The sequence below is a fragment of the Homo sapiens genome, chromosome 8 (genome assembly GCF_000001405.40).
Source record: "Homo sapiens chromosome 8, GRCh38.p14 Primary Assembly".
In the NCBI taxonomy this organism is placed as follows: Eukaryota; Metazoa; Chordata; class Mammalia; order Primates; family Hominidae; genus Homo; species Homo sapiens.
This window is the reverse complement of record NC_000008.11, coordinates 141303198-141329106: the sequence shown is the minus strand read 5'-3', so window position 1 is coordinate 141329106 and position 25909 is coordinate 141303198. Positions and strand designations below refer to the sequence as shown.

The 25909-nt window shown below is 56.3% G+C and overlaps 1 protein-coding gene across 11 annotated transcripts in view, besides 3 other annotated features; it reads left to right on the top strand.

The window, feature by feature from the left end:
• Positions 4581-5081: an enhancer, noted in NCBI's record as "H3K4me1 hESC enhancer chr8:142334125-142334625 (GRCh37/hg19 assembly coordinates)". NCBI's record gives its function as "activates a minimal SCP1, AML or CMV promoter by ChIP-STARR-seq in naive and primed H9 embryonic stem cells {active_cell/tissue: H9 hESC(naive and primed)}" and the evidence as "EXISTENCE:reporter gene assay evidence [ECO:0000049][PMID:30033119]".
• Positions 20584-20823: a silencer, noted in NCBI's record as "silent region_19592". NCBI's record gives its function as "represses an Ori minimal core promoter by ATAC-STARR-seq in GM12878 lymphoblastoid cells {active_cell/tissue: GM12878}" and the evidence as "EXISTENCE:reporter gene assay evidence [ECO:0000049][PMID:35858748]".
• The window catches only part of SLC45A4 (solute carrier family 45 member 4), a 101115-nt gene continuing 96024 nt past the window's right edge, over positions 20819-25909 (top strand). For 5 of the 11 annotated variants that reach the window (XM_011517179.3, NM_001286646.2, XM_047422015.1 and 2 more), the window contains exon 1: positions 20819-21011. The gene's annotated coding sequence lies outside the window, so the exon portion shown is untranslated. Of the gene's footprint in view, positions 21012-21214; positions 21968-23155; positions 23243-25909 lie in introns of those variants that run through there. The other 6 variants (XM_011517171.3, XM_047422012.1, XM_047422009.1 and 3 more) reach the window with 2 other exon arrangements.
• Positions 20844-20943: a silencer, noted in NCBI's record as "silent region_19591". NCBI's record gives its function as "represses an Ori minimal core promoter by ATAC-STARR-seq in GM12878 lymphoblastoid cells {active_cell/tissue: GM12878}" and the evidence as "EXISTENCE:reporter gene assay evidence [ECO:0000049][PMID:35858748]".

Below are 25909 nucleotides of genomic sequence, written 5' to 3'. Positions count from 1 at the left end.
ATGAGACAGACTGTGAAATATCTCATTCATAATTTGTTATATGAATGACACGTTTAAATAATATATTGGATATATTAGGTTCCATAAAATATATTACTAAAATAATTTGCATCAAATTCTTTTTCCGTTTTCCTAACGTGGCTGATAGAAAATTAGAAATTATTCACGAGGCTGGCATGAGATTTCTAGTGGAGAGTGCTGTCTCTGTGCCGACAGAGGGAGTGTCTCCAATCTAATTCACACCAGTCCCTTCCTTGCTTAAATAAAGCCCATCAGGTCAGGGGAAAGTCTCCCATGTCCGGTGTGGACTTCTCCCAGGACTCAGTCTCACCTCTGCCCACCAACCCCACTTTCCAGCTGCCCCGTGGTGCCACATCTTCCAGCTGCCCCCGTGGTGCCACATCTTCCAGCTGCCCCTGTGGTGCCACTACTGGGCCTCTGCAAGCTGCTCCTTCTCTAGGAGTGCCCTTCCCTAACCCTGTTTCCTCCTTTGTCTAGGGATGTCTTCTGGGCTTTCACAGATGCCTGGAGTGTCACCCTTTCTTCAGTGCTCCCAAGCCCACCTCCCCTGTCCACCCCCAGCAGCCCCTGCCTCAGCCCCGCTGGCTTGGGCTCCAAGAGGCGGGGCACCGTGCCGGGGTCAGGGGATTGAGTAACTTGCCTCGGAGCATCAGTTTGCTCATCTGTGAAACAGGTGCCCCATTCACGGGACCCACATCCCAGGCAGTCACTCAGCTCAAGTGAGGTCATCTAGACAGCCCCCTCAGGGCTGCCGCACAGAAGGGAATCTTTGGCTGGAGGATTAAATGTCCAGGTCGCCAAGCTGGCCACCCTCCTGAACAGAGCTGGTGAATCTTGAAAGAAAAAGAAAAATTGTTTCCGGAGCAGCAGCCCCACACTGGGCCCAAAGGTGATCGATAAGCAGGTCTGGCCCGGCGCCTCTTAGTGCTGAGAGGGCTCCTTCACTTAGGGCAGGGCTGGCTTTCAGACCAAAGCTGGCCAGCCACCTGTTTCTGTAGGACTGCAAGCTAAAATGGTTTTTACATTTTTAAATGGTTGAAAAGAAAACTAAAGAAGGGGCCAGGTGCAGTGGCTCACACCTGTAATCCCAGTAGTTTGGGAGACTGAGGCAGGCAGATCACCTGAAGTCAGGAGTTCAAGACCAGCCTGGCCAACATGGTGAAACCCCGTCTCTACTAAAAATACAAAAATTAGCTGGGCGTGGTGATGTGAGCCTGTAATCCCAGCTACCAAGGAGGCTGAGGTGGGAGGATTGCTTGAACCTGAGAAGTGGAGGCTGCAGTGAGCCAAGATGGTGCCACTGCATCCCAGCCTGGGTGACAGAGCGAGACCCTGTCTCAAAAGACAAACAAACAAAACAAAAACCAAAGAACAAGAATATTACATGAAGTTCTGCTTTCAGTGTCCACGAATCAAGTTTCCTGGGAACTCAGCCACACCCACTCCTTTACATCTGCTGTAAGGCTGCGTGCAAACTGCAGCTGCAGAAGTGAGTCTTACAACACAGACCTCACAGCCCGCAAAGGAGAAAAGATTTACTCCCTGGGCCCTTCCCGAAAGAGTTGGCCAACCCCTGCCTTAGGTAATCCTCCAACCCCTTGGGTGGGTGCTATTGGCCAAGGGGGAAACCGAAGCACAGGGGGGCTAAGTGTGTCCCCCGAGGGCCCCGGCCTTCAGCTGTGCTCCTACCCATCATGATGCCTGGTGCCCGCCCCCATCCCCAGGACCCAGAGGTCAACTACAAGTCCTGCTTTTCCCGCCCACCTCACACCCGGTCTTGGTGTTGTCTTGTTTTGTTGGCTGTGTGCCGTGTTTAGGAATCACTCACACTCACCGGAGGCCCTCGTCTTCTGGGCGTCGCTCCGTGCCTCGCACACATCTAAACAACCTTAACAACCCCCTGTCACCTGCCGGGGCTGCCAGAACAAAGTTCCACTCGCTGGGCGGCTGAAACAACAGGCATTTATTGCCTCACAGCTCCGGAGGCCAGAAGTCTGAAATCAAGGTGTCAGCAGGCTGGGTTCTTCCGAGGGCCAGAGGGAAGGGTCCGTTCCAGGCCTGCCTCCTTGGCTTGCAGAGGGCCATCCTCTCCTTCATGTGGCACATCTGTCTCCAAATCTCCCTTTTTCCAAGGACACAGTCACATTGGATTAGGGCCACTCCAACGACCTTATTCAACTTGATTACCTCTGTGGAGACTCCCTCCAAATAAGGTCACATTCTAAGGACTTCAGTTTGAATTTGGGGAGTCACAGTTCAACCCACAACACCCCAAGAAAGAAACTCTCCACCCCATTTTACAGATGAAGAGGGCTGGGACCCCTGCTTCAAGTGGGCTGGGGGCTGTAGCCCTCCCTGGAGAAGGAGGCTCCGGGAGAAGGTGGCTCCCAGCCTGGTGGGGTGAATCAAGTTTACCAGGGCAGTTGTTGCAGCTACATTTCAAAATCTGGCCCTTGCAACAGCCTCCTCCTCCTCTGCCTCCTCCTCCTCTGCCTCCTCCTCGACTAATTGACCTCAGGCATCCACAGGGGTATCGATGTCTCTTCTCCCGGTCCCACCCCACCTGGGGAGCAGCCCTGGCACCTCCAGCCCTGCCGCCCCACCCCCGGTGGGCATATTCTCAGCTCAGCCTGCTGCTGTCTAGCCGTGTGCCCCAGCAGGCGTCTCTCTGAGCCCACCTGTGAAATGGGTGTGATGAGGCTCGAGTGAGTTCGTACCGTAGCAGGAAACCCCGAAGGAAGCCCTGAGCCCTGGAAGGAGCTTTGCGGGAAGCAAGCTGCCGGAGACCCCACCATAGGCAGTCACAGCCATCTGCTGAGCTCCGGGGTGAAAGCTGGCAAGCTGGGGAAATCTCTTTAGTGCTTAGGGCACTCCTGCAGGGCTGGACTCGCCTAACGGCGGGGTAGGCAGAGTAGGACTGGACCTCAGGCTGCCAGGCTGGACCAAAGCTTCCCCTCCTCCGCCCCTCCTTGTCCCCCCGGCCCCTCGCCCTCCCTGGCCTCCAAGTCCCCACCGTCTCCAGTAAGGCTGTCCAGACGTCTGTGTCTTGAGCTGGTCCCAGCGTCTTTGTTCCTGCTCTGGAATAGGGATGGCTGAGAAAGCATTTGGGAGGGGCGCTGCGTTTTAGTTTAGATTGGAGGGCATGGGAGCTGGGCAAGGCCGGGCGGCATCTGACTGAAGGAACAGTGTGTGCGAAGAGGCCAGAGTATGGATGACCTTTGACCCCAGGCCCTCTCTGGGTCCTTGCCCCCGCCACCCCCACCCCCGCCTTCTGTGGCTGCAGCCCTCGAGGGGGCTGGCAGCCTTAGAGGGTCTCCAGGCCTTGCTGTTTCCGCAGCGCTGCTCCTTCAGCCGGGAACGCCTTTCCATCTTTTCCGTCTGCAGAGACCCTGCCCGCCCCTTACCTCCTGGCCAGGAGTCCAGCCCCCGTGTGCCCTTCACGTCCCTGGGCCTCAGCTTCTTCATTCACAAAGTGGGCTGATCCTGTCCTTGCCGCCCCTCGTGGTGGGGGTTGGTTGTAGGGTCGGCAGAGCCCCTGGGAGTACAATCCTCTGTGAACCGCAGGTCCCATGATGTGCTATGTGTGTCGGGGCCACGGCAGGTGGGGGGCCTCAGACCCCAGCATGGCAGGCACCACGTGGCAGCTTGCTCAGCAGCCCCAGGGCCTCCGCATCCCCCGGGGGGTCGCGTAGCAGCAGCCACACCACGGGGCGCTGCTGGGGTCAATGCCGAAGGCCGGTCGGGCTCAGGACCGAGGCCGGCTGTTGTCTCTTGGTTTTTCTTCACTCTTCTGGGTTCGACATTGAGGGACTGCCACGTGCTGATGCGAGAGCCCCCTCTCGCCCCCAGAGCTCGGAGTCAGAGCTGGGGCTGTGCTTCCCGGGGTGTCATGCTAGGTGACCCAGACTGAACGCTTCTAGTTCCCCAGCAGCTTCAGGGAGCCTGAGAAGCTTCCGGAAGGAGCTCACTCTCAGGGGTGCTATGGCCTTGGGGCTGAAGAGCTTGTGTCTCATTGCTGCCGTCTCATCGCTGCCCCCTTTATGCAGGGCCTATCACCCCCTCCTGCAAGGCCTGTGGTCCCGTCGGGCTGCATTCCCTGTCATGGGTGAGGAGACTGAGGCTCGAGGCGAAGGCTCCTCCCACCCACTGTGGGCAGAGTCCTGGAAGGAGCACAGTGTTCTTGAAGGAGCCTCCAGGGATGAGCAGAGACCTTATTCAGGTGACCCCAGGATTATGGCAGATGAGTGTCCTGGAGCCACCTGAATGGGGGATCAAGACCCCCCAGCCCCACCAAGTCAGCACCTCCTATAGCAGGCTGGCCTTCCTGGAGCCTCCATGTGGCACCACTTCACCCAGGGCCACCCATTAGTCCCCTGTTCCAAGGGCCCATGAGGTGGGTACTGCTGGTGTTCCCACTATACAGGTGAGGAGACTGAAGTAGAGCCCAGTGCTTCCCAGTGGCCAAGATTGGAGCCAGGATTCCAGCCCAGCCCTGGGGCTTCTGAGCTGAGGCCCAGGCCCCTCCACCACACCCCACTCATGGCAGCGAGGGGAGGGAGGGTCCCCAGACTCCTCGACAGGAGAGATACGTGAGGCCCAGAGGAGCGCAAGGCCTTCCAGAGGGCTCCAAGCATGGCGAGGACAGACTACACCCTGGACCTGCACAGCTTCTGGTGGCTTTACCCTGGGGAGCCCACAGCCCAGGCACGAGACTTCTGGTCTTATGTCTGCTGCAGGCCGGTCAGAAAGACTCTGTGCCTTGGAAGGCCCTGGGTGGGCGGAGCAGCCATGTTTAAGGTGGGTGGGTTTTGTTCCTCGCTGGCCTGCCACAGACCAGGCTCTGGGCTGGGCACCAGGACGGGATGGACAGCCTTAGTCCCTGCAGAAGTCACCATGGCGTCATCACGGAGGCCACTGGGAGGTGGGAGCTGCGCATCAGGGTCCTCCCCTGAGAGGCGTCTGTCCACCTGATCGGTGCTGTGCGTGCAGGCGGACACTCAGGAGCCTGCACACAGGACTCGCCTGGTCAGCGAGGCCCACATTTCCAAACCCAATGGGCCCACAGGACAGTGGCAAAGAGGGTGTGGCTGGCATTCCTTGCAGAAAGGAGGGGACTCCTCGAGGGGCACCTGGAGACACATCCCAGAACAGCCGCTGGACCGAGAGCCAACAGGGCGTCTGGCACAGGCAGATGGAGCATCAGCCACTAACAGGAGGACAGGCGGGGTGGCCTTGGCTCTCAAGGACCCCCACTGGGGCCCAGGCCAGGGCAGCAGGAAGAAGGGGCTTTGGTCCAGCGCCTGGCCAGTTCCTCTTTCTCTGAAGCTGTTCAAACCCTTAGGCCCAGGGCAGACTCCCTCAGGAAGACGTGAGTGACAGACAGAAACATGTGTCAGACAAAAGGGGCAGGGGACAAAATGAAAAGCAAGACACCCTGGGGCTGGGGCATGGGACACTGAGGGACTGTGTGTGTGAGCAAAGGACAGGAGGGGTGTGTGTGTGCCTGTGCAGTGGGGCACACCCAGCGGGGCAGGATCCGTGGGCACACATAGACCAGCGGGACAGTGGCAAAAGGGGAGTATGGGACAGCCGCCGGCATGTGCATGTGGATGTGTACATGTATGTGCATGCACACGTGTGTGAGCCTGTTCACCTGCAGTCTGAGGCAGAATGTGGGCATGCCTGTGCACTCTCAAATCCCCATCTGGTGCCCCGGTGGCCCCCACTCAATGGGCTACAAATCTGTCTCATTGGCCTCAGAGAAGCGAATGCTCACAACAACCTATACCAGTGCCATGTGCTATACACATGGGGAAACTGAGACACAGAGCAGGGAAGCAGGTTGTCTGATGTCATAGCTTGCAGAGAGTGGAGGGGACTCCAACACCTGGATCCAATTGTGCCTGTGCCCTTTGACCCCACCCCAACTTGGGGCCAGGGTAGCCAGGATGCAGCCTCCAGGTGGGCCTGGGGTTCATTCATCCATGAAGCCAGCCCCTCATGGCCCTGGAACAAGGGGGCTGAGCTGTGGTGTGTGTCACCTGCTGGGCCAGCATTCAGAGCAGAATCCATGACCCTCCCGGGCCTCTGTGAGGGGAGGTCACGGCCGAATGTTGTAGATGTGGGAAGTTGGCCTCAACCCTCCATGTGATCTCCCCCAGTCACAGACCGGGCTCCCTGGACATGCCTGCCTCCCACGGTGGCTGTGCACCTGCCCTCACCCTCGAAGCTGGTGGGGCTGAGGCTTTGCCTGGAGACCCAGGAGGGTCAAGCCCAGGTCCTCAAACCCATGTTCTCTGGAGACTAAGGAGGGTATCCCAAAGGCCCAGACCCCCCACGGCTAGGGGCCCCCAGCCCAGCTGCGACCGCAGAAGTCCCTGCTCTGGGAAAGAGCAGGTGGGGAGGGCGTAGCCTGAGGGTGCTCCAGGTGTGGGGTGCCAACAGGGTCAAACCAACCTGGCAGGTTGAGCAAGAACTGGGTTAGTCTCGTTCATTTCTGTACCCCACCCCTGCAGGATGAGAGTGACCTTATTACCGGCCTTGAGGACAGCCTGGGGCAATGGACAGAGGGGCCAGGGCTCTGCCTTCCCCTAACGAGTGTCCAGGCCACTGGGCCACGCCCAGGCCCATTTATGCATCGGTAAAGGGTGATCAGAATATGGCCCTAAAATTGCAGGTGGCCTCAAATGAGCAAGGGATGAAAAGTGTTTAGCATGGAGAATGCTCCATAGATGTCAGCTGTCATTGGTCATCGAGGCTCAAATGGCATCATGGTTGTGAGAGCAATGGGGTCATACCTGTGTCAGGAACCTGAACAGGAGTTGAGTGGGGAGCAGGGGGTGAGGGGCCCCACAAATGCCTGGTCACCTCTGAACTCAGAGATGGTATACTCCCACATCCAGCCCTTTGACCAACACAAGGCTCCAGTCTTTTTATTTTGTATTTTATTTTATGTATATTTATATTTTTATTTATCTATTATTATTATATTTTGAGACAGAGTCTCACTCTGTTGCCTAGGATAGAGTATAATGGCACGATCTCTGCTCACTGCAACCTCTGCCTCCCGAGTTCAAGTGACTCTCCTGCCTCAGCCTCCCAAGTAGCTGGAATTACAGGCACCCACCTCCATGCCTGGCTAATTGTTGTACTTTTAATAGAGATGGGGTTTCACCATGTTGGCCAGGCTGGTTTCGAACTCCTGACCTCAGGTGATCCACCTGCCTTGGCCTCCCAAAGTGCTGGGATTACAGGTGTGAGCCACTGCGCCCAGGCATTTTTTGTATATTTTTATTTTATTTTTAATTTTAGTTATTTATTTACTTATTTTTGAGGTCGAGTGTTGCCATGTTGCCCAGGCTGGAGTGCAGTGGTGCGATCTTGACTCACTGCACGCTCTGCCTCCCAGGTTCACGCCATTCTCCTGCCTCAGCCTCCCGAGTAGCTGGGACTACAGGCACCCACCACCATGCCTGGCTAATTTTTTGTATTTTTAGTAAAGATGGGGTTTCACCATGTTAGACAGGATGGTCTCGAACTCCTGACCTCGTGATCCACCTGCCTCGGCCTCCCAAAGTGCTGGGATTACAGGCGTGAGCCACAGCACCCAGCCCTTAGGTATATTTTTAAATTTTTAGTACAGACAGGGGTCTCACTTTGTTGCCCAGGTTGGTCTTGAATGCCAGGACTCAAGCGATCCTCTCACCTCAGCCTCCCAGTGTGCTGGGATTACAGGCATAAGCCACCGCGCCCGGCCTTACTTTACTTCTAATTCGAGTCCTCTTGCTGGGGAAGAGGCTCCACTATTAATGACCCTGACCGCTCTTGGGATCAGCAGTCTGGACTCTATGGCTGGATGACTTTGATGTGTCACTTAACTGCTCCAGGCCTCAGTTTCCTCATCTGAGCAGAGGGAATAATGATAGCACCTGGTCCAATGAAGCAGGCTCTTAGAGGGTTGGATGAGTTGCCGTGAGAGGTGCAGGCCCTTCAACCCCACCTGCGCCCTGGCCGCTCCTGCCCTGTCAGCAGGCTCAGGTCTCCTCCTCCTCCCAGCCAGCCCCTGCACCCCAGCCCTTCCTGCTTTGGGGCCTCAGAGTTCTCCCGGGGAGGCAGCCCCCTGCCCCTCCAACAGCCCGCTCTCTCCCCAGCCCTGTCTCTGGGGATGAGTTGCAGAGGGAAGGGGTGGGAAGGAGTGAGAAGAGGAGTCAGTTTTGGAAGAATTCTCAGATGGAGAGGCCTCAAAGGAGCTGGTCGCCTGGTCCAGGCCTCGGGGTGCAGGAGTGTCAAGAAGGAAAAGATGATTCTGGAAGCTCTGTGAAGAGGTACATGGAGAGAGGGCCAGGCTGGACACCAAAGCCAAGGTCTCGGGGAGGTGGGAGCCAAGGCCATGCAGCTCTGTCCTTCCAGGCGCCCACCCACCCAGTCCCTGCACCTGCACACCCCTGCACAGATGGCAGAGCACAGGGCCTCGAGGTCCCCCAGGCAAAGCCTTCAAGCGAGATGTGGGCAGATGGGGCCTCGAGGCTGCAGGGGTTTGGCCATTCCATCAAGCTCCCAGAGGATGGCACCCACCTGGGGACTCAGCCACCAAGGTCCCCACACACCCCAACGTGCCCCGTGTTGGCTTTTGTCTTTCCAGGGCACTACCCACCCTCACCTGCTCTGCTGCCCTGGCCTCCACCCACCCTTCCGCACCCGTCCCCACCCTTCCACCCGCCATCCTTGTCTGCCTCACGCAGGTTCATTCCTTTCCATTGTCTTCCAGACTCTGGTCCACCCAAGGTGGGTGGCCTCCAGAGCAGGGAGTGCCCACCGGCTGCTAGAGCAACTACTGTCACCTGGCAGGAACTGTCACCTGGGGCCCCCTCAGAGCCCATGAAGACCCACTGTCCGATAACTGAGCCCTCTTCGCGCACAGGTGACTCCAGCTCCCAACACTTGCCAAGCACTCATCTTGGCAACCAGCCTTTGTGCCTTTGCTCAGGTGGTACCTGCTGCCTGGAATGCCCTCCTGCCCCCTTCTTCAAGTGACCCAGCCTGCAAAACCTCCTCCAGAGAGCCTTACTGAGTACCTGGGGAAGAATGCCTCCCTGGCCCTTCCTGAGCCTCTAAGTTATCTTGGTGTGTTGTACAATTGAGACCCAACTGGGCTGCCTGGGAGATGGGAGGTCATTCAGGGCTGGGACTGTGGCTAAGTGGCCCTTGAGTCTGTAGCACCTAGGACAGGTCCTGGCACAGAGAAGATGGTTCTCAAATGAAAGAGAAAGAATGATGAATGGGGCTACTGGTTCAGTGAGAAGAGACCAGGACACCCTGAGTCCACTTTAGGGCTGTGACTGTCACATGGCCCTCATGTTGAGTCCTGGCCTCAGTCAAAGACTGAGTCCTGATCCCACTCGTTACTAATCCTCATAACTGACTGTCCTGATCCACACTGAACTCTCTAGTCACATTCTGAAACCTGATCCTAGTCACAGGCTGCACTTTAACCCTGGTCACACACTGAGCCCTGATCCTGGTCACACACTGAACCCTGATCCTGGTCACACACTGAGCCCTGACCCTGGTCACACACTGAACCCTGATCCTGATCACACACTGAGCCCTGACCATGGTCACACTCTGAGCCCTGATCCTGGTCACAGATGGAGCCCTGACCCTGGTCACATGCTGAGCTCTGACCCTGGTCACATGCTGAGTCCTGACCCTGGTCACAGCATGTGACCTGGTCACACTCTAATCCCTGATCCTGGTCACACACAGAGCGCTGATCCTGTGGTTCACATTGAGCCCTGACCCTGGTCACACACTGAGCCCTGATCCTGGTCAAACTCTGAGCCCTGACCCTGGTCACACTCTGACCCCTGACCCTGGTCACACTCTGACCCCTGACCCTGGTCACACTCTGAGCCCTGATCCTCGTAGCACACTGAGTCCTGATCCTGGTCATACTCTGAGCCCTGACCCTGGTCACACGCTGAGCTCTGACCCTGGTCACATGCTGAGCCCTGACCCTGGTCACACTCTAATCCCTGATCCTGGTCACACACAGAGCCCTGATCCTGGTCATACTCTGAGCCCTGACCCTGGTCACATTCTGAGCCCTGATCCTGGTCACACACTGAACCCTGACCCTGGTCACATTCTGAGCCCTGGCCCTGGTCACACACTGAACCCTGATCCTGGTCATACATTGAGTCCTGATCCTGGTCACATGCTGAGTTCTGACCCTGGTCACATTCTGAGCCCTGATTCTGGTCACACTCTGAGCCCTGATCCTGGTCACATTCTGAGCCCTGATTCTAGTCACACTCTGAGCCCTGATCCTGGTCACACACTGAGCCCTAGCCCTGGTCACACACTGAACCCTGATCCTGGTCATACTTTGAGTCCTGATCGTGGTCACACACTGAGTTCCGACCCTGGTCACATTTTGAGCCCTGATCCTAGTCACACACAGAGCCCTGATCCTGGTCACAGACTGAGCCCTGACCTTGCTTGGACATTAATCCCTGACCCTGGTTATATGTTAAACCATGATCCTTCCCTCGACTTAGCACTGGCTCTCATTTTACCCACTAAGCCCTGATCCTATTCGCTTCCCGGCTGAGCCTGACCCTGTTGACTGAATCGTGACCCCTTTGCTATCTGCTGTGCCCCTCCCTCACTAGGTAGCCTGGAAAAGTGCTCCCAGCTCAGCTCCACCCAAATCAGAGGTGGGCCTGGGAAGTGGCTGCTCAGGCTGTGGTTAAGGAGGGTGGAGCCTCCCCTCCCACTCATGGGTTGCCGGGCAGTCTGCTGCCTCCACCCTTCTCCACTGGCCCAGGGTGGCATCAGCACAGCCACCCCCACCTCCCAGCGTGCTGTCGAGGGGCTGACCCCGGGCACTCAGCCCAAATACTCAGAGCTCCTTGGAGCCGGAGAGCCCAGTAAACACCCTGGAAAACAGGCCTCCTGGCACCACTGCCTCGGGAAATGGGGTCAGCCCTCTCTGCAGCCTGCGTTCCTGGCTCCGGACCTCAGGCACCCCGGGCAACTTCTATTGGGCTCTCCCACCACAGGGCCAGACAGTAGCAACCCTGCCATGGGCAGCTGTCTAACAGGCTGCCACCCTTGACCCAGGATGCCCTGCCGCACCCAGTCACTGTGGCCCCAGTTGCCTCTGGCTTTAGCATTGCTCTCTCCCACCTCCCTTTTTCTTTCTATTTTCTTTTGAGTCAGGGTTTCACTCCCATGGCTCAGGCTGGAGTGTAGTGGTGCAGTCTCATCTCACTGCAGCCTCAACTTCCCAGGCTCAGGTGATTCTCCCACCTCAGCCTCCCTAGTAGCTGGGACTACAAGCGCACCACTATGCCCAGCTAATTTTTTGTATTTTTAGTAGGGACAGGGTTTCACCATGTTGGCTTGTCTTGAACTTTCAGGCTCAAGTGATTTGCCCACCTCGGCTTGCCAAAGTGGTGGGATTACCACTGGCTCACTGCAGCCTCAAACTCTCGAGCTCAAGTGATCTTCCCTCCTCACTTTCTGGAGTAGCTGGGACTATAGGTGGGTGCCACCATGCCTGGCAAATTTTAAAAATTTTCTGTAGAGACAGGGTCTCACTATGTTGCCCAGGCTTCAGTTGATCTTCCCACCTTGCCCTCCCAAGTGTTGAGATTACAGGCATGAGCCACCATGCCCAGCCAAAACCACTATTTGTTAAGCGCCTGTGGGGTATTGTGTACCCACGCCTAGACCAGTGCCCAGCATGAATGGGGCCCCATTGAGGCTTTGCTGAGCCAACGAGGGCTGGCTTCACTCCCACATTTTCCCTGGCTTCTTCTCACTAGAGCCTTGGCAGTGAGGTACTAGCACCCCACTTCACAGGCGAGAAAACTGAGGCTTCAGGAGGCTTATGCAAGCTTTTACAGCCGCATCCTACTCCCAGCCCTCCAGTGATTCCGCCCTGCAGCTTCAGTGTTTACCAAGAATCCGGCCACGGCTCCTCCACTGCCAACACCCTGCCTGCAGCCATCAGCTCCCTGAATTGTCAAGAAGCTTCCCACGTCCTGTGCCCTCCAGCCACCCTCAGCAGCAGCCTGAGCCTTTTTAAAACATCGAGATCCCTGAGTCCCTCCTCTGCTCAGACCCTCCTGGGGTTCCCGTACCCCACTCGGGGGGGCTTTGCTGGCCACCTGCTATCCATAGCAACACCCTCCTTGCTCTGCCCTCTTTGTGTATTTAGTACCACCTGGTCTTCCACTATGTATTTATTGCTATGTCCTTGGATGTAACGCCCTTGAGAGCAGGGACTTTATCCGTTCTGCTTCACACTCCACGGGACCCTGACCACCTGTGCTTCTTCCAGAACGGGAGGATGCATGAATGAATGCATGCGTGCATGAACGCAGGAGTGTGTGAGCCCGTGGGTGAACAGGAAAGCATCAGAACCAGGATGCGCCTCATTTCCACTAGTTTCTCCAGGGTGTGCCGTTTCCTACAGGGCCTCCTCCTAGGGGAGGGCACATTCCTGCACCCACCTGTACCCTAGACAAGATGCAGCTGGGAGCCAGGCCAGTCACGCTCTCTCATTCACTCCTTTCTCGTCCGTTCCTTTGCAAGTTGTGAACTGTGTACCAGGGACCCAGGGACGGACAGGGTGGGCTAGAGCCCACCCACATAGTGCTCACAGTTGAGGGCAGAGGGTCGAAGGCAGCTGGTGCTGGAAGGGGGCTGGCTGGCAGGGCCAGGAGAACTGCAGCAAGGTGGCTGAGGGCAGCCCTACTGTGCCTGATCGTGGGGTAGGGGGTGTCTAACTCCCACTGAGAGATGAAGCTAACTCCTCTGCCCGTTCCCTCTCTTCCTTCAGGCCCTTCCTCAAAGTCCCCTTCAAGGGGGACTCTGCCTGCCCCCTTCCCCGCATTTCCACAGCAGCTATCGCTGGCCGGCTTACTGCATGTCACTTGCTTCCTTGCTCCTTGGCTGTCTCTCAGCTGGGATGCAGATTCCAGGAGGTGTGGCCTCCCTAGCATCTATGTCAGAGTGCCTGGAGCAGAGCAGGTGCTCAGTCAATGTTTAGTGAATGAGTGAATGAACGAATGAATGATTAGAAATCACATAGGCCAGGCTTTGGCACCCAGGTAGGTCTCAGTGAGTATTAACTACTGGTGCAGTGACACCCCAGGTGAGCTCTGGTCCTGCCCTCACCTTTTAGGCCCCCATCTGTAAGGGGAGACCAGAACTGACTCCACAGGGCTGCTCAGAGGCTCCAATGAGACTGTGGACAGGACAAGCACGTTGTAAAGTATAGGCGGTTCTTTAAATGATGATTCAGGACTTAAAGCCTAGGTGGGCCTTATTTTTGCTATGTGCTGGGGGAGGCAGGAATTATTGAGAGCTGGGGTGGTCTGGGAGGGTTTCCTGGAGGAGGACACATGGGACAGGCAGACCCAAGGGAAATGGTGGGCACTACCGGCAGGATGAGCAGTGTAAGCAAACGCAGGAAAAGGGAGAGCCAACCCAGAGGGCTTAGGAGGCTGCTGACTAAGCAGGGGCAGGGGTGGGAGTCCAGAGACGAAGCTGGGCTGAGGACCACGGCCTGGAGGGGATGTCTGGGAGGGAGGCTTACCCTGGGTTCCGCCCTGCCCTGGTGCCATCAGCAGGTGGGGCCTGCCGCAGGGGTCCTGGGTGGGGTGACCCCAGACATCACCTGCCTTTACCCTTCACTGTGAGAAGCCGTGCCAGATGCTCCACCCTGCTGGCCGCCCTGGGTGGCTGCCTCCCTGCTTCCTTTCCAGGTCACCCTGGTCATTTGGTTCATGGCTATGGCTCCAGTGCCAGCCCCTGTACTGGGCCCTGCCCCTCCTCCCCATCCTGACAGGTGGGCTAGAGATGCCAGCAGATGCAGCAACCACTCCACACTCTGACAGTCTAGGAGCCCCTGGCAGGCCCTGTGACCTTGTGGAAGGGGGCACGAGGACTCAGAGCCAGATGGCCTGGGTTCAAACCCTGGCACAGTCACTGACTCGATACGTGACCCTAGGCCAGCTACCTCCCCTCTCTGTGCCTCAGTTTCCTCTTCTAGCAGATGGGGAATCTAATGGCACCCAGCGCAGGGCTGCTGTCAACACGAGATTACTTTGATCAGGCGGGGGCCCAGCTGGCTTTGGAGCCCTGTGGTAACTGATCCGCATCATTATCTGGGCCCTGACCAGCCCAGCTGAACAAGCACTAGCCAGCCACTGCCCCACTAGGCTCTAGATCCAATTTCTCAGCCCCACCCCATATGCCCCACACACGGGCCTCAAGGAGCTCTTTAAGACCCCCATCTGGCCGCTCGAAGACGTCCCCAGGAAAGAGGTCAAGTGCTGAGGCCCTCAAACCTGGACAAAGTCGGTGTCTGATCGTGTTGACTTATTTTACAGGTTTCATTGTGGGATATAAGACAGCTACAGAGAAAGGCATCGCAGAGCTGCAAGCGTGCACATCCTGCTGCCGGGCGGGCGTGGAGCCTGTCCCAGCCCCTCACCCCTCTCGTGCTTCTGAAACCCGGCCTTTGCCCAGGGCGGGCCCATGTGGGGAAGGCCCTTCAGTGAAAACCTGCCTCAGTCTCTTCTGGGGAATCTTCAGGTTCTGCCCAGGCCTGGAGGGCCAGCGTCGTGCTGACGGCCACAGCCAGTCCTGGGCAGCTGCCCTTTCCTGGCACTGTGGTCACTGATGAGCTCTTCCTAGTCAATGACCTCCGCTGGGCCCTGCACTGTCATTTCCTCACATAATCCTCTCATACAGTCCTTTGTGCTAGAGAAACAAAGATTCTGTCCACCTCACTGATGAGGAAACTGAGGCTCAGGGAGGGGATGGGGCTCACCCAGGACACAGAAGCAGTGGAATGGCCTGGATTGCATTGAACTTCCAATGAGACACACCAGTATGGGGAGCCGTGTGGCCCCAGGTGTCCATGTGACCTGGGGTATGACCCCGAGTGGCTAAATCACTCCATCGTCAGGTAGCTGTGTGACTCCTAGCGATTGTGACCGTGGGCAATCGCATGGTTCAGGTAGCCATGAGACCCCAAGAAGCTCACGATCATAGGATGCCACATGGCCCCTTGGTGGCCATATGACACCGGGCAGCCATATGACCCCAGGAAGAGAAGCCGTGGGACCCCAGAAGCCCATTGCTCTGGAGCCAATTCAGGTACCTGGAGGTTCCGACCTGGATTCGTGTCCCGGCCCTGGGGCTGCTCTGAAAGCCCTTGGCTGCCCAGGACACTGGGCAGGCACATGGTCTTTAGGGTCTCGGGTCCCCTCCTGGGCAATTGAGATCCAAGACCTGCGGGTTGTGGACCTACTCACCTGCATCCCAGGGCTTTGGCCCCTACCCTCTGTGGAGCTCACACCCTCTTCATTTTGCCTTGGGGCTCACAGAGATTAGGTATTTTCTCCAAGGTCACACAGTAAGCTAGAACTCTGCTCCTGCGCTCTTAGCCTCACCTAAGCAGAGGCTGCTCCTGGGGAAGGGGCGGAGCAGGCGGAAGGACGCTGGCAGGGTGAGTAGACACAGCCTGAACATCAGCGCCCTAAGCACGAGAGCCAAGCGGGGCAGTGTCTTAGGAACACCTGGTGATACATGAGCGTGCTAATTGACATATTGGGGTTTTGTGAACGAGTTTGTTTAAAAACGTGTTTGTTGCTTTGAAAAGATAAAAGATTTGTGAAGGAGCACAGGAGGTGTCACTAAGGGACTGTCTGGCTGGGACACTGCTTCAGCTCATCCCCTCTCTTTCCTCCCTCTTCAGGGCCCACCTACTTGCCGCCCCCACCCCACCGCTGTGTAGGCTGTGGTCTCTGGAGAGAATCCTGTGCCTCCATTCTCTAAGGAAGCTGGGCAGGGGTTGAGGGCAGCTGGAGCACAGCAGGCCCTTGGTTAAAGGCGGGTTGTTGTTTGAATCATAGTAAAATTGGAGCCAGTTCAGGGAGGGCTTCCATATGTACCACCTCCCTCCCTTTCCTTTCAAACTGGGATCAATGGTTGTTGCTCTCGGACACTTCCTCATGGCAGGAGAGCACCAGGGACACTCCCAGAAGAGAAAATGGCAGATGCAAAGGTCTGGGGATGGGCTCAAAAGGGTGGCACGGACAGTCACCTGGTGTGACAGAGGAGAGAGCCAGGGGAGGGGGGACCTGCCAGGCCTGCCAGGAATGTGGAGCTCCTGGCGCCCGCGGGCTCTACTGGCACCCGCGGGCTCTACTGGCACCCGCATGCCTCACCAGCCCTCTAGCCTCCACCTCCGTGGGGGCTTCCTGCCCGGAAGCCCTCCTGCTTTTCCTAGGAAGAGAGGCTGCTCAGGCAAGTCACGCTACCTCTGAGCCTTGGTTTGTTCGTCTGTGCAATGGAAAGGCTGACAGAGGGCCAGGGAAGCTGAGGGCAGGGGCTGGAGAAGTCTGAGTGGCCTTCATTCCTTCTCCTTCTCTCCTGATTTACCTGTTGTGCGGAGCACCTTCTACCTCTCTCCCATGGCCCAGTGTGTTCTCCACAAGGTCCAAAGAGGGCAGTCTTGTCTTTTCAACCAAGGTAGGAGCTGTCCATACCAGGTCACCAGCTGGCCTCTGGCTCAGAGCAGGTCACAGCCTGTTTGTGGGATGTGGACGTTTTGCACCAAACAGGCTCTTTCCTCTTCATTTACGAGGCACAGAGGAGAGGAAGGGAATGATGCCCAGCAATAGTAAGATGGGTGTGTTCACGGACGTCATTCATTCATTCATTCATTCAATCAGTCAGCCTGTTCACCTAACACCTAACCAGATATGACCCAGGTATAAATCCCGGCTCTATCGCCTACCAGCTGTGCGGCTACAGGTACCAACAACCTGTGTCGCAGCTTCCTCCTCTGCAGGATGACACCCATCTCACAGGAAGGTGTGCACACATGAGCGCTGGGGATGAGAGGGGCCTGGCCCTGCTCCAAGGCATCCCCAGGTGAGGCACGGAGAAGACAAGGTTGGAACCTAAGCAGTGATGGAGGCACCACGCCCTGGACTCGTCCCAGCATCGGGGAGGTTGTCATGCTCACAAAGATGCAGGATTTGCCACAGCATTTGTGGGGCCCTTCTTAAAAGCTGTGAAGCATTTAAAGATGGCAACAGCAGAGCGCTAAGCCAAGCGTGGAGCTATTCTGAGCACTGGGTATGTGTGACTACACAGGTCACACACCCATGACAGCTAAGGGCCCAGGCACGCCTGCTTCAGAGCCAGGCCAGAGTCCGTGTCTTTCTGACCCCTGGGCAAGAGGGCTTCCCCGTATCAAGCTCTCTCCTCACAGGACTGGGGAGCCAGCCATTTAAGGAGGGGGTGGAGTGGGGCAAAGATGTGTGGGGGCCCTGAGGATTCCATTCCCCGGCTTCCATGGGCAGCTGGACAATGGGGCCACAGGCCACTGACACATATCACCCTTCTTGGTGGTGGCAGGTAATATAAGGCCCTGGCCGGGTAGGCTGGGAAGGAGTGCTGCAGGGTGGCCCTGCCACTGCCCTCTTGCATAGGCATGCACACGCACACATGCACACGCACACACACACACATGCACACACGCACATGCAAACATGCACACACATGCACACACGTATGCACACACACATATGCACACACGCATGCACACACACTTGTTGAGGTGCTTGCACAATGGGGATATATTTTTTCTTAACTTTACTCTGGTCTCTGTGTTTAACTCCAGGTTATAGAAGTAAATTAGTTGGGTTTCCACATCTCAGGCTTAGAAACTGCCTTCTAAGTTTCATTCACAAGAAACTTCATGCCTACACTTACATTCTTTTTTTTTTTTTTTGAGACAGGGTCTTGCTCTGTCATCCAGGCTGGAGCACAGTGGTGCAATCATAGCTCACTGTAGCTTTGAACTCCCAGGCTCAAGTGATCCTCCTGCCTCAGCCTTCTGAGGGCTGAGATTACAGGCATGTGCCACCACACCCAGCTAATTTTTGAATTCTTTGTAGAGATGGGGCCTAGCTATGTTGCTAGGCTGGTGCCTATACTTCTATACTTGCATTCAGTTACTCTTTTAGAGGCTTTTTTTTTTTTTTTTTTGAGATGGGGTCTCATTCTATTGCCCAGGCTGGAGCGCAGTGGTGCGATCTCAGCTTACTGCAACCTCTGCCTGCCAGGTTCAAGTGATTCTCCCGCCTCAGCCTCCCAAGTAGCTGGGCCCACAGATGCACACTGCCCCAATCAGCTAATTTTTGTATTTTTAATAGAGATGGGGTTTCGCCATGTTACCCAGGCTGGTCTAGAACTCTTGAGCTCAAGCAATCCACCCACCTCGGCCTCCCAAGGTGCTGGGATTACAGGCATGAGCCACCACCATGCCCAGCCCCAAGAAATACTTATGGAGCACCTACTACAAGGCTGATCCTAGACTGGGCTCCATGGCTACCATGGCTGGTACATACCCCACAATGCACTCCTTAAGAAGAGAGATGGGATCATGTTCCCAGCTCCAGTACTAGGACCCAGCAAAGCGTGTGGCACATAGTAGGCACACACTCAGTAGTTGGTTACTGCATGAATGACAATGAAGACAATTCAATCAATACCAGCAATTTGTGAATAAACAAAGTCTTTACCTGTTCTGTCCTCTTGATTGTATTGTCATTTTAAAAAGCATCATTTTGCTATTTTGTTTAAGCTTCAGGACAACTTGTGAACTAGGTACTATTAGAATGCTCACTTATAGAAGAGGACTCAGGGAGGTTAAGTAGGCGCCCAGGCTCACACAGTTGGCTCACAGCACACCTGGAATTGCCGCTGCCTCTATCCTTTGGCCATTGAAAGAAAAATCACCAGGGAAGCAGATGTACAGTTTGAGCACTCATGATGTGTCTGATGCTGCTTTGGACTGTCTACAGACCATTGATGTACTTACTAACCCTCTGTTGAGATACTGCATACACATGGAAAAACACACACGTCTTTTTTTTTTTTTAATAGAGATAGGGTCTTACCATGTTGCTCAGGCTGGTCTCAAACTCCTGGGCTCAAGCAATCCACCCGCTTTGGCCTTCCAAAGTGTTAGAATTACAGGCGTGAATCACCGTGCCCCACAGGCACATGCATCTTGACTGCACAGCTGGAAAAGTCATCATAAACTGAGCACACTGTAACCAGCACTCAGACCAAGACACAGAACACAGCCAGCCCCCAGACACGTCCTCTGTGCCCTGCTTCCTGGCTCTGGCACCCCTCCCTCCAAGGGTAACCACTATCCTGACTGCTACCCCCATATACACCTTCTACCACTTTATCCACATGGAAACAAATATGGCTTTTTATCCTCTGGCTTCTTTTCCTCAACATCATTTGTGAGAGTCATCCATGTTGTTGTGTGTAGTTGATTATTCACTGTCATTGCTGTCATTCCACTGTGTGAATATATCACAATTTATGTATCCATTTAACGGCTGATGAGCATTTCAGTAGTTTCCAGTTTGGGGCAATTATAAACACTGCTGCTATCAACAGAAACACAATGTTAGGTGTGTATCTAGGAGCAGAATTGCTGGGTAATCAAGGCCTTTCAAAAAGATTTTGAAAGTTGTACCACTTTGCATGTCCACCAACAGTGTCTGGCAGTTCCAGTTGCTCCATTTCCTTGTCAACACTTGATATGGTCAGATTTTCCCATTTCCGATGCTCTTGGAGGCTCTGCTCTGCACTTCACTTCTAAATTCCTTTAGCAACAGGTGAGATGGATCTTACGATTTCTATTTTACAGATGAGGACGCCAAGGTTCTGAGAAATGAAGTAATTCCTCCAAAGCAACTTAAACCCTGGCAAGGGTGCAGGGCTGCGACGTTAACAGGGTTGGCCTCAGCCCATCACATCTGTCTGTTAAAGCCGCCTCCCCAGACCTTGTCTTGATGGGGTTTCCCAGCAGTCCTGCCCTAGGGATTGTGGCCCTTCTACACGTGGGGAGAGACGGATCAGTGTCCCTGGCCAGGGCCAAGCCTGAGAGGGAGGCCCAGCCTCCAGGAAGCTCCGGGTCGGGTCTTCGTCCTGCCCCGCTCTCCAGGTTGGAGAGGGGACCCGCAGAGCGCGGGGCGTTGGGGGAGTTGGGGACGGGGGCGTGGTCCGGGACCAGGTAGGAGGTCTTCGGAGGGTGGCAGGGAGGGGAAAACAGGAGAGTTTTCTCCTGCAGCGGAGGAGGGGCTGCAGCACCTGGATGGGGCCCATGTCGCCGCGCCACGGGCAGGGGCGGAGGGGGCGGGAGGGTGCTTGCCAAGGGGCTGGGCTGCCGGGGGCCGGGGCCTCGTGGCTAGCCGGACCCCTCTGCGACAGAGTGGCGAGAGGAGCGGGGAGAGAAGGTGGGGACAGGCGGGGGCCACCTCCTGCGGCTGCAGAGAGGGATGGGGTGGATTGCGGGCCAGCGCTTTAGGGGAGAGAGGGCGGACGCTCGGTGCGGAGGGGCCGGGGCCGGGGCCGGGGCCGGGGGCGTAGCGGGAGGAGGGCGGGGGCGGGGCTGGATTATGGCTGGGGGCGGGGCCATGGCGAGACGGGGGCGGGAGCCACGGTGCGCGCGGGGGCGGGGCAGGGGCGCGGCGGGGGCGGGGCGGCCGTTCGGGGGCGGGGTGGGCGGCAGCGGAGGCCAATGAGCGCGCGCGGCGCAGACCCCGCCCCCCGAATCCCCGTCCCGCGGCGGCGGGTGCTGCATAGTCATGAGGCGCAGGGGCCGGCGCTGCGTCAGCGGAAGCGGCGCGGAGCGGCTGTTTCCGACCCGATAAAGCGGCGTTGTCTCCGCGCGCCGGCCGCAGCCTCGCAGCGCTCTCTCCGCGCCCGCGTCGCTGACTGACCGCCCGGCCGGCCGGCCGAGGGAGCAGCCCCCGCCCGGACCCGCAGCCGCCTCCCGACCCCGGTGCGCCCGGGGCTCCGCGCCCCCGTAGCCCCTGCCCGGCCCGGCCCGGCCGCCCCGCCGCCCCCGCGGCCCCGGCCGGAGGAGACAGGTGAGTGGCCTGCCGCCCGCAGCCGCCTGCCCCGCCGCCCCCTGCACCTCGCACCTGGGCGCCGGGCACCTGCAGCCTCCCCACCCCCACCTCCCGCACAGCCTCGGCCTCCAGGTCGGGTCCGCGCCGCAGCCCCAGCCCCGCACCTTCTCCGGGGGAGGGGACGTGCCCCCACCCGGCTTGCGCTGGCTCCTCAGGGCCCCCCAATTCCTTCCCGCCTCCTCTTTCCGGATTGCACCTGCCCTGGTCCCCAGCCCTGCAGCCTCCCTCATTCCCCCCACCCCGGCCCCCACCCCGGGGCGCGCGCCTTCATTTGGACCCGGCCCGCTTTCGCACCCATCAGTCCTCCCCGCCCCCAGTTCCTCGGTTTCTCTACCCAGAGAGGAGCCTGGCGCCTCTAACTCCTGGTCCTGACCCTGTCTTGTCCTTCTAACCCCTGCCTGCTATCTCTAACTTATGAGAATTCAACCAGCGATACACCACTCGCGAAGTGGCCCCCTCTCCCCTCTGTCTGGACCGGTCCTCCCAACCGAACACACTCCCTTCTTCCCCTTCTTCCCCTTCCCTTCTTCCCCTCCTTTCCCTCTGCCCAGTGCACACACGACCCTGGCAGCACTGCTAGCCAGTGTCCCCCGCCTCGGACCCCCAGCCTGCACCGCCAGACTGTGGCTCTGCCCCGGTCTCATCGGCACTGCGCTCCCTTGTGTCCCTTTGAAGATACCTTGATTTCCTGAGACCGACCTTGTCCCTGGAGGAAAGAGGCCAGGGCATCAGTTCATCCGGGCCCAGATTCCCTGCTCTGTAGAAGTCCCCGCACCTTCTGCGTCTCAGCACCCGCTGCCCCTTTCCCCTTTGCGCTTAACCCGTTCCTCCCCCAGGTATCCTGCTCTGGATTGGAGCACTTCCAGCAGCGGCTTTTCCAGCGGAGGCGGATCCACACGGGGCCCAGCCTCCTGGTTAGCTATTCAGAATGATTCTAGAAGGCGGGGGCTAGGGAGGGCTGGGAAGGGCCGCTTGACCTCCTAAGGAGCCTGAGGTGTTTGTGTCTCTCCAGTGCGGGTCACTGATGGAGTGTGGCTTCAGGTTCACAGACCTAGCCACTGACCCCCATCTGATACCTCAGCTGACTCCAGCAAAACAGGGCTTGTCGTTTTTATTACTGTTTTGGGGGCTGTCTTTTCCAGTCTATGACCCGGAGCGAGGAGGGTTTACCAGATGAGTGATTGAACTAATTGTTGTGGGGTCAGATGATTCTTGTGGGCTGGTAGATTCTGAATCGAAGCCCATTTCTGCTGGGGAAAAGCCACTGCATCTGCCCAGCATTACTGAGAGCGCCCTGCGCTTCCATTCCCCAGACGGTCTCATCCTTCCTGTGTCATTGGCAGACAGGTAGAATGTGGTAGGAATCTTATCCTTCTGTTATTTTGTGCTGGCTTTAGGAAAAAATAAGAAAACAAAAAGCTGGAGTATTGGTGTACAGGTTAGGGAGTGTAACACATGGGGATCAGAGCAGGTAACACACACTGTCCTTAAAAGAAATGTATAGTGTCCTCACTTTTCTGCTAGGTTTGAATTATTGTTAAAAGAACGAGCAGAGATTATTTAAATGCTTGGGAGAGGTTTTGCAGAAGCCACTTGATGAGAAGAGGCAGCCCTGCAGGTTCCGGGTGGAGGAGACTCAGGCGCAGTAAAGAACTCATGTGTTTCTAGAGAGAGGCTGGGGAACTAGGTCGTCTTACACATCAAGGATTTCACACCCGTTCAGGCTAATTGTTTTTGTGGCAGTGGCTGTAAAGGAAAGAAGCAAATCGTTTGAAATGTGTTTGAAATACACACTGGGTATTTAAAGGTGTGTTTTTTTGGCCCAGGTGTTCACAGGGCGGGGAGTGGGGAGGCTGCCCAGGGCCACCTCCCGGGCCTCGTGGGGGGAGTGGCCTGCTGCCCTGCCGAGATGCGTGCTGCAGCTTTGGCCCTTGTCGCATCGTGAAAGCAGATCAGAGATTGGACTGGGTGAGCTCCAAGGTGTGTGTCTTGCAGCTTGTAACACCCTCTAACTTTGCTTATTGGAGGGGGGTGGGGGAGGGGCGGAGCAAGCCTGTAAACCGGATTCTGCCTCCTTTCCGTGAGCTCTGAGATCCCGCCCCAGCCCGCCCCGCAGATCTGCAGGGAAGGAGAGGGCTGCGGCAGCGGCAGCTCCCCACTTTCCCGATGGAGGAAAGGAGCCGAGGAAGGTATTTCAGCCAATCTTGAGGTTGCTTGGTGGTGAATGGATTGTATCTGTGTTGTCAGGAGAGAGGTGGGGAGGACAGAGGAGTGCAGCGCAGGGGTTCGGGCTGTGATTGTCGTTCTGACCGTGGTGCATCCCAGTGCCCTCTCCCGCTCTTCCCGAGGGTCCTGACGCCCAGTGGCTGGCTGGGGTGGTTTGTGACCAACAGCCTTGTGGCCTGGCACCGAGTGAGGGTGACTGACAAGCACTGTAGGTGGCAGACAACCCCAAATTGCCAGTGCCCTTCTTGGGAACACCCCTGGCAGAGTCGTGTCTGTAATTTGTGGAGGCAGAATATGCTGGAAGCCGCGTTCCTGCTAATGATGGGTGAGGACTGTTCCTCGCTGGCCTCCTAGGTTCCCCAGGTTTTCATCACTGCGTGATTATGCTGACGAAGGCGCACTTAGTGAAACACCATCAGAAGGGTTGTCTCCACCTGAGCCAGGAAACAGATTTGACCAGAGGGAGCAAACCTCCCAGCCGAAGAGCAGCCTTGTAGAAAGGAAGGGGTGAGAGGACCCCAAAAGCAGGCGTCTGCAGTGGGTTTTCATGCAGAGGACCTGAGCGGCTGCACCTCCCCCACCGGCTCCTAGACAAGGTCCCCTTGTTTAGATTAGCTTAATTACCCCACCAAAATCAATGAACAAGGATCTTTTTAAATGTGAAACTTTCAAAATGTGCTTCTAGTGGCCTTTTCCCCCGAGTATCAAATGCTAAGCTTTTGTGAAATCAGGCACTTTCAGAGGACCGGGAGACCTCTTTAATGTTCGTGGAAATGAATCTTCTCTACCCTGAATCAGGAGAGGGCCTGCCGAAAGGGAAGCTTAACAGGTCATATTGTCATTTTCAACCCCTTGCCATTTGGGTGGAGGTGACAGGAGAAACAGCATAGTGTTTACGAAGTGGCCTCCTTGGCAAGTGACTTTTGGAGGAGGCATTTTAAGAAGATTAAAAACATCCACAGACTTAGAGGGCAGCCGCATAACCCACTTAGTGTTTCATATCCCTGATAGAGTGGCCCTTTGAGAGCCGTGGATGGGTTGCTGTTGTTCCCACCTCAGACGACGTGGGTGTTATTGCCCCAGGAAGACGGGACACTTGGTAGGGGTCATTTGTTGAGTGCGACTGGTTAGATTGCGGGAAATAGCACAAAACCCTGATGATGGAGAGAAGGGCTCTGAGTTCTCTTTGGCTCAGCTGCTGTGTAGCTTGGGGACTTCAGGTGAGAGGGAGAGGAAGTTCTCTCTCTCCCCCCCTTTTTTTTTTTTTTTTTGAGACAGTCTTACTCTGTCACCCAGGCTGGAGTGCAGTGGTGCGATCTTGGTTCACTGCAGCATCCACCTCCCAGGTTCAAGCGATTCTTTTGCCTCCGCCTCCCGAATAGCTAGGACTACAGGTGCACATCACCATGCCCAGATAATTTTTGTATTTTTAGTAGAAATGGGGTTTCACCATGTTGGCCAGGCTGGTCTTGAACTCCTGACCTCAAGTGATCTGCCTGCCTGGGCCTCCCGAAGTGCTGGCATTATAGTCTCTCTCCTTTGCGTGTGTGTGTGTGTGTATTTAAGAGTCAGGGGGTCTCACTGTGTTGCCCAAGCAGGTCTTGAACCCCTAGGCTCAAGTGATCCTCCTGCCCCAGCTTCCCAAGTAGCTGCTGGGTTATAGGTTCATACTACCGCAGCTGGTGGGATTTCTCTTAAGTTAGAGGGGCTGGGCTGTAGCTGCATTATTTTGAGGGTCATCCCAAGGCCCACCTTCCTGTCTAGTGAGGGCTCCAGAACACAAGTTCACTCTCAGAGTCTGTCGGGAGCCGCGGGGGGGAATAGTGCTGGGCATTTTGTCCCCAGTGCAGGAATAAGGGTGCCAGCCAGTCCAGAGTGGGATCCTGAGGCAGCTGAAGGGATTTGCGTAACCTTTCAAGTCATTGAGCTTGGCCATCTCACCCTCCCACCTCTACTGGGCCCAGGCCCCAGTGAGGGAGGTATTGTTCAGACCTGGGTCTCGGTACTTTCATCCTCCTAAACCTGTTGAAGGATTTTGCTGGCAGTGAGAGGAAACTGCATTCCTGAACTCTGGCCCAGAGGTGCTTAATTTGCTGCATTGAAAAGTCCCTTCCAACCTGGGGTTCTGTTATGCTACTTGCTCTGAGTTTTTGTAGTTTGCCCCAAGGTTTCTCTTGGGGTTCTGCCTTGAAATCCTGGAGCCATCTGAATTGACTGGCAACCAAATTTTTCCTATTTCAAAGAAAGGAAAATCTTGAGTGAAAAATGCATAGCAAACCCTTAGAATAGATAATAAAGAGGGATCAACACAGTGCTTACCTGGTCAGGTGTGGTGGTCATTATACTTTTATATATGACCCTTATTGCACAATTTTAGGAAATCACTCAGGCTGGGCACAGAGGCTCGTTCCTGCAATCCCAGCACTCTTGGAGGCTGAGGCAGGAGGATCGCTTGAGTCCAGGAGTTCCAGGCCAGCCTGAGCAACACGGCAAAACCCCACCTGTCCAAAAAAAAAAAAAAAACAAAAATTAGCCGGGCACGATGGCACGTGCCTATAGTCCCAGCACTTTAGGCGGCTGAGGCGGGCAGATTGCCTGAGCCCAGGAGTTTGAGACCAGCATGGACAACA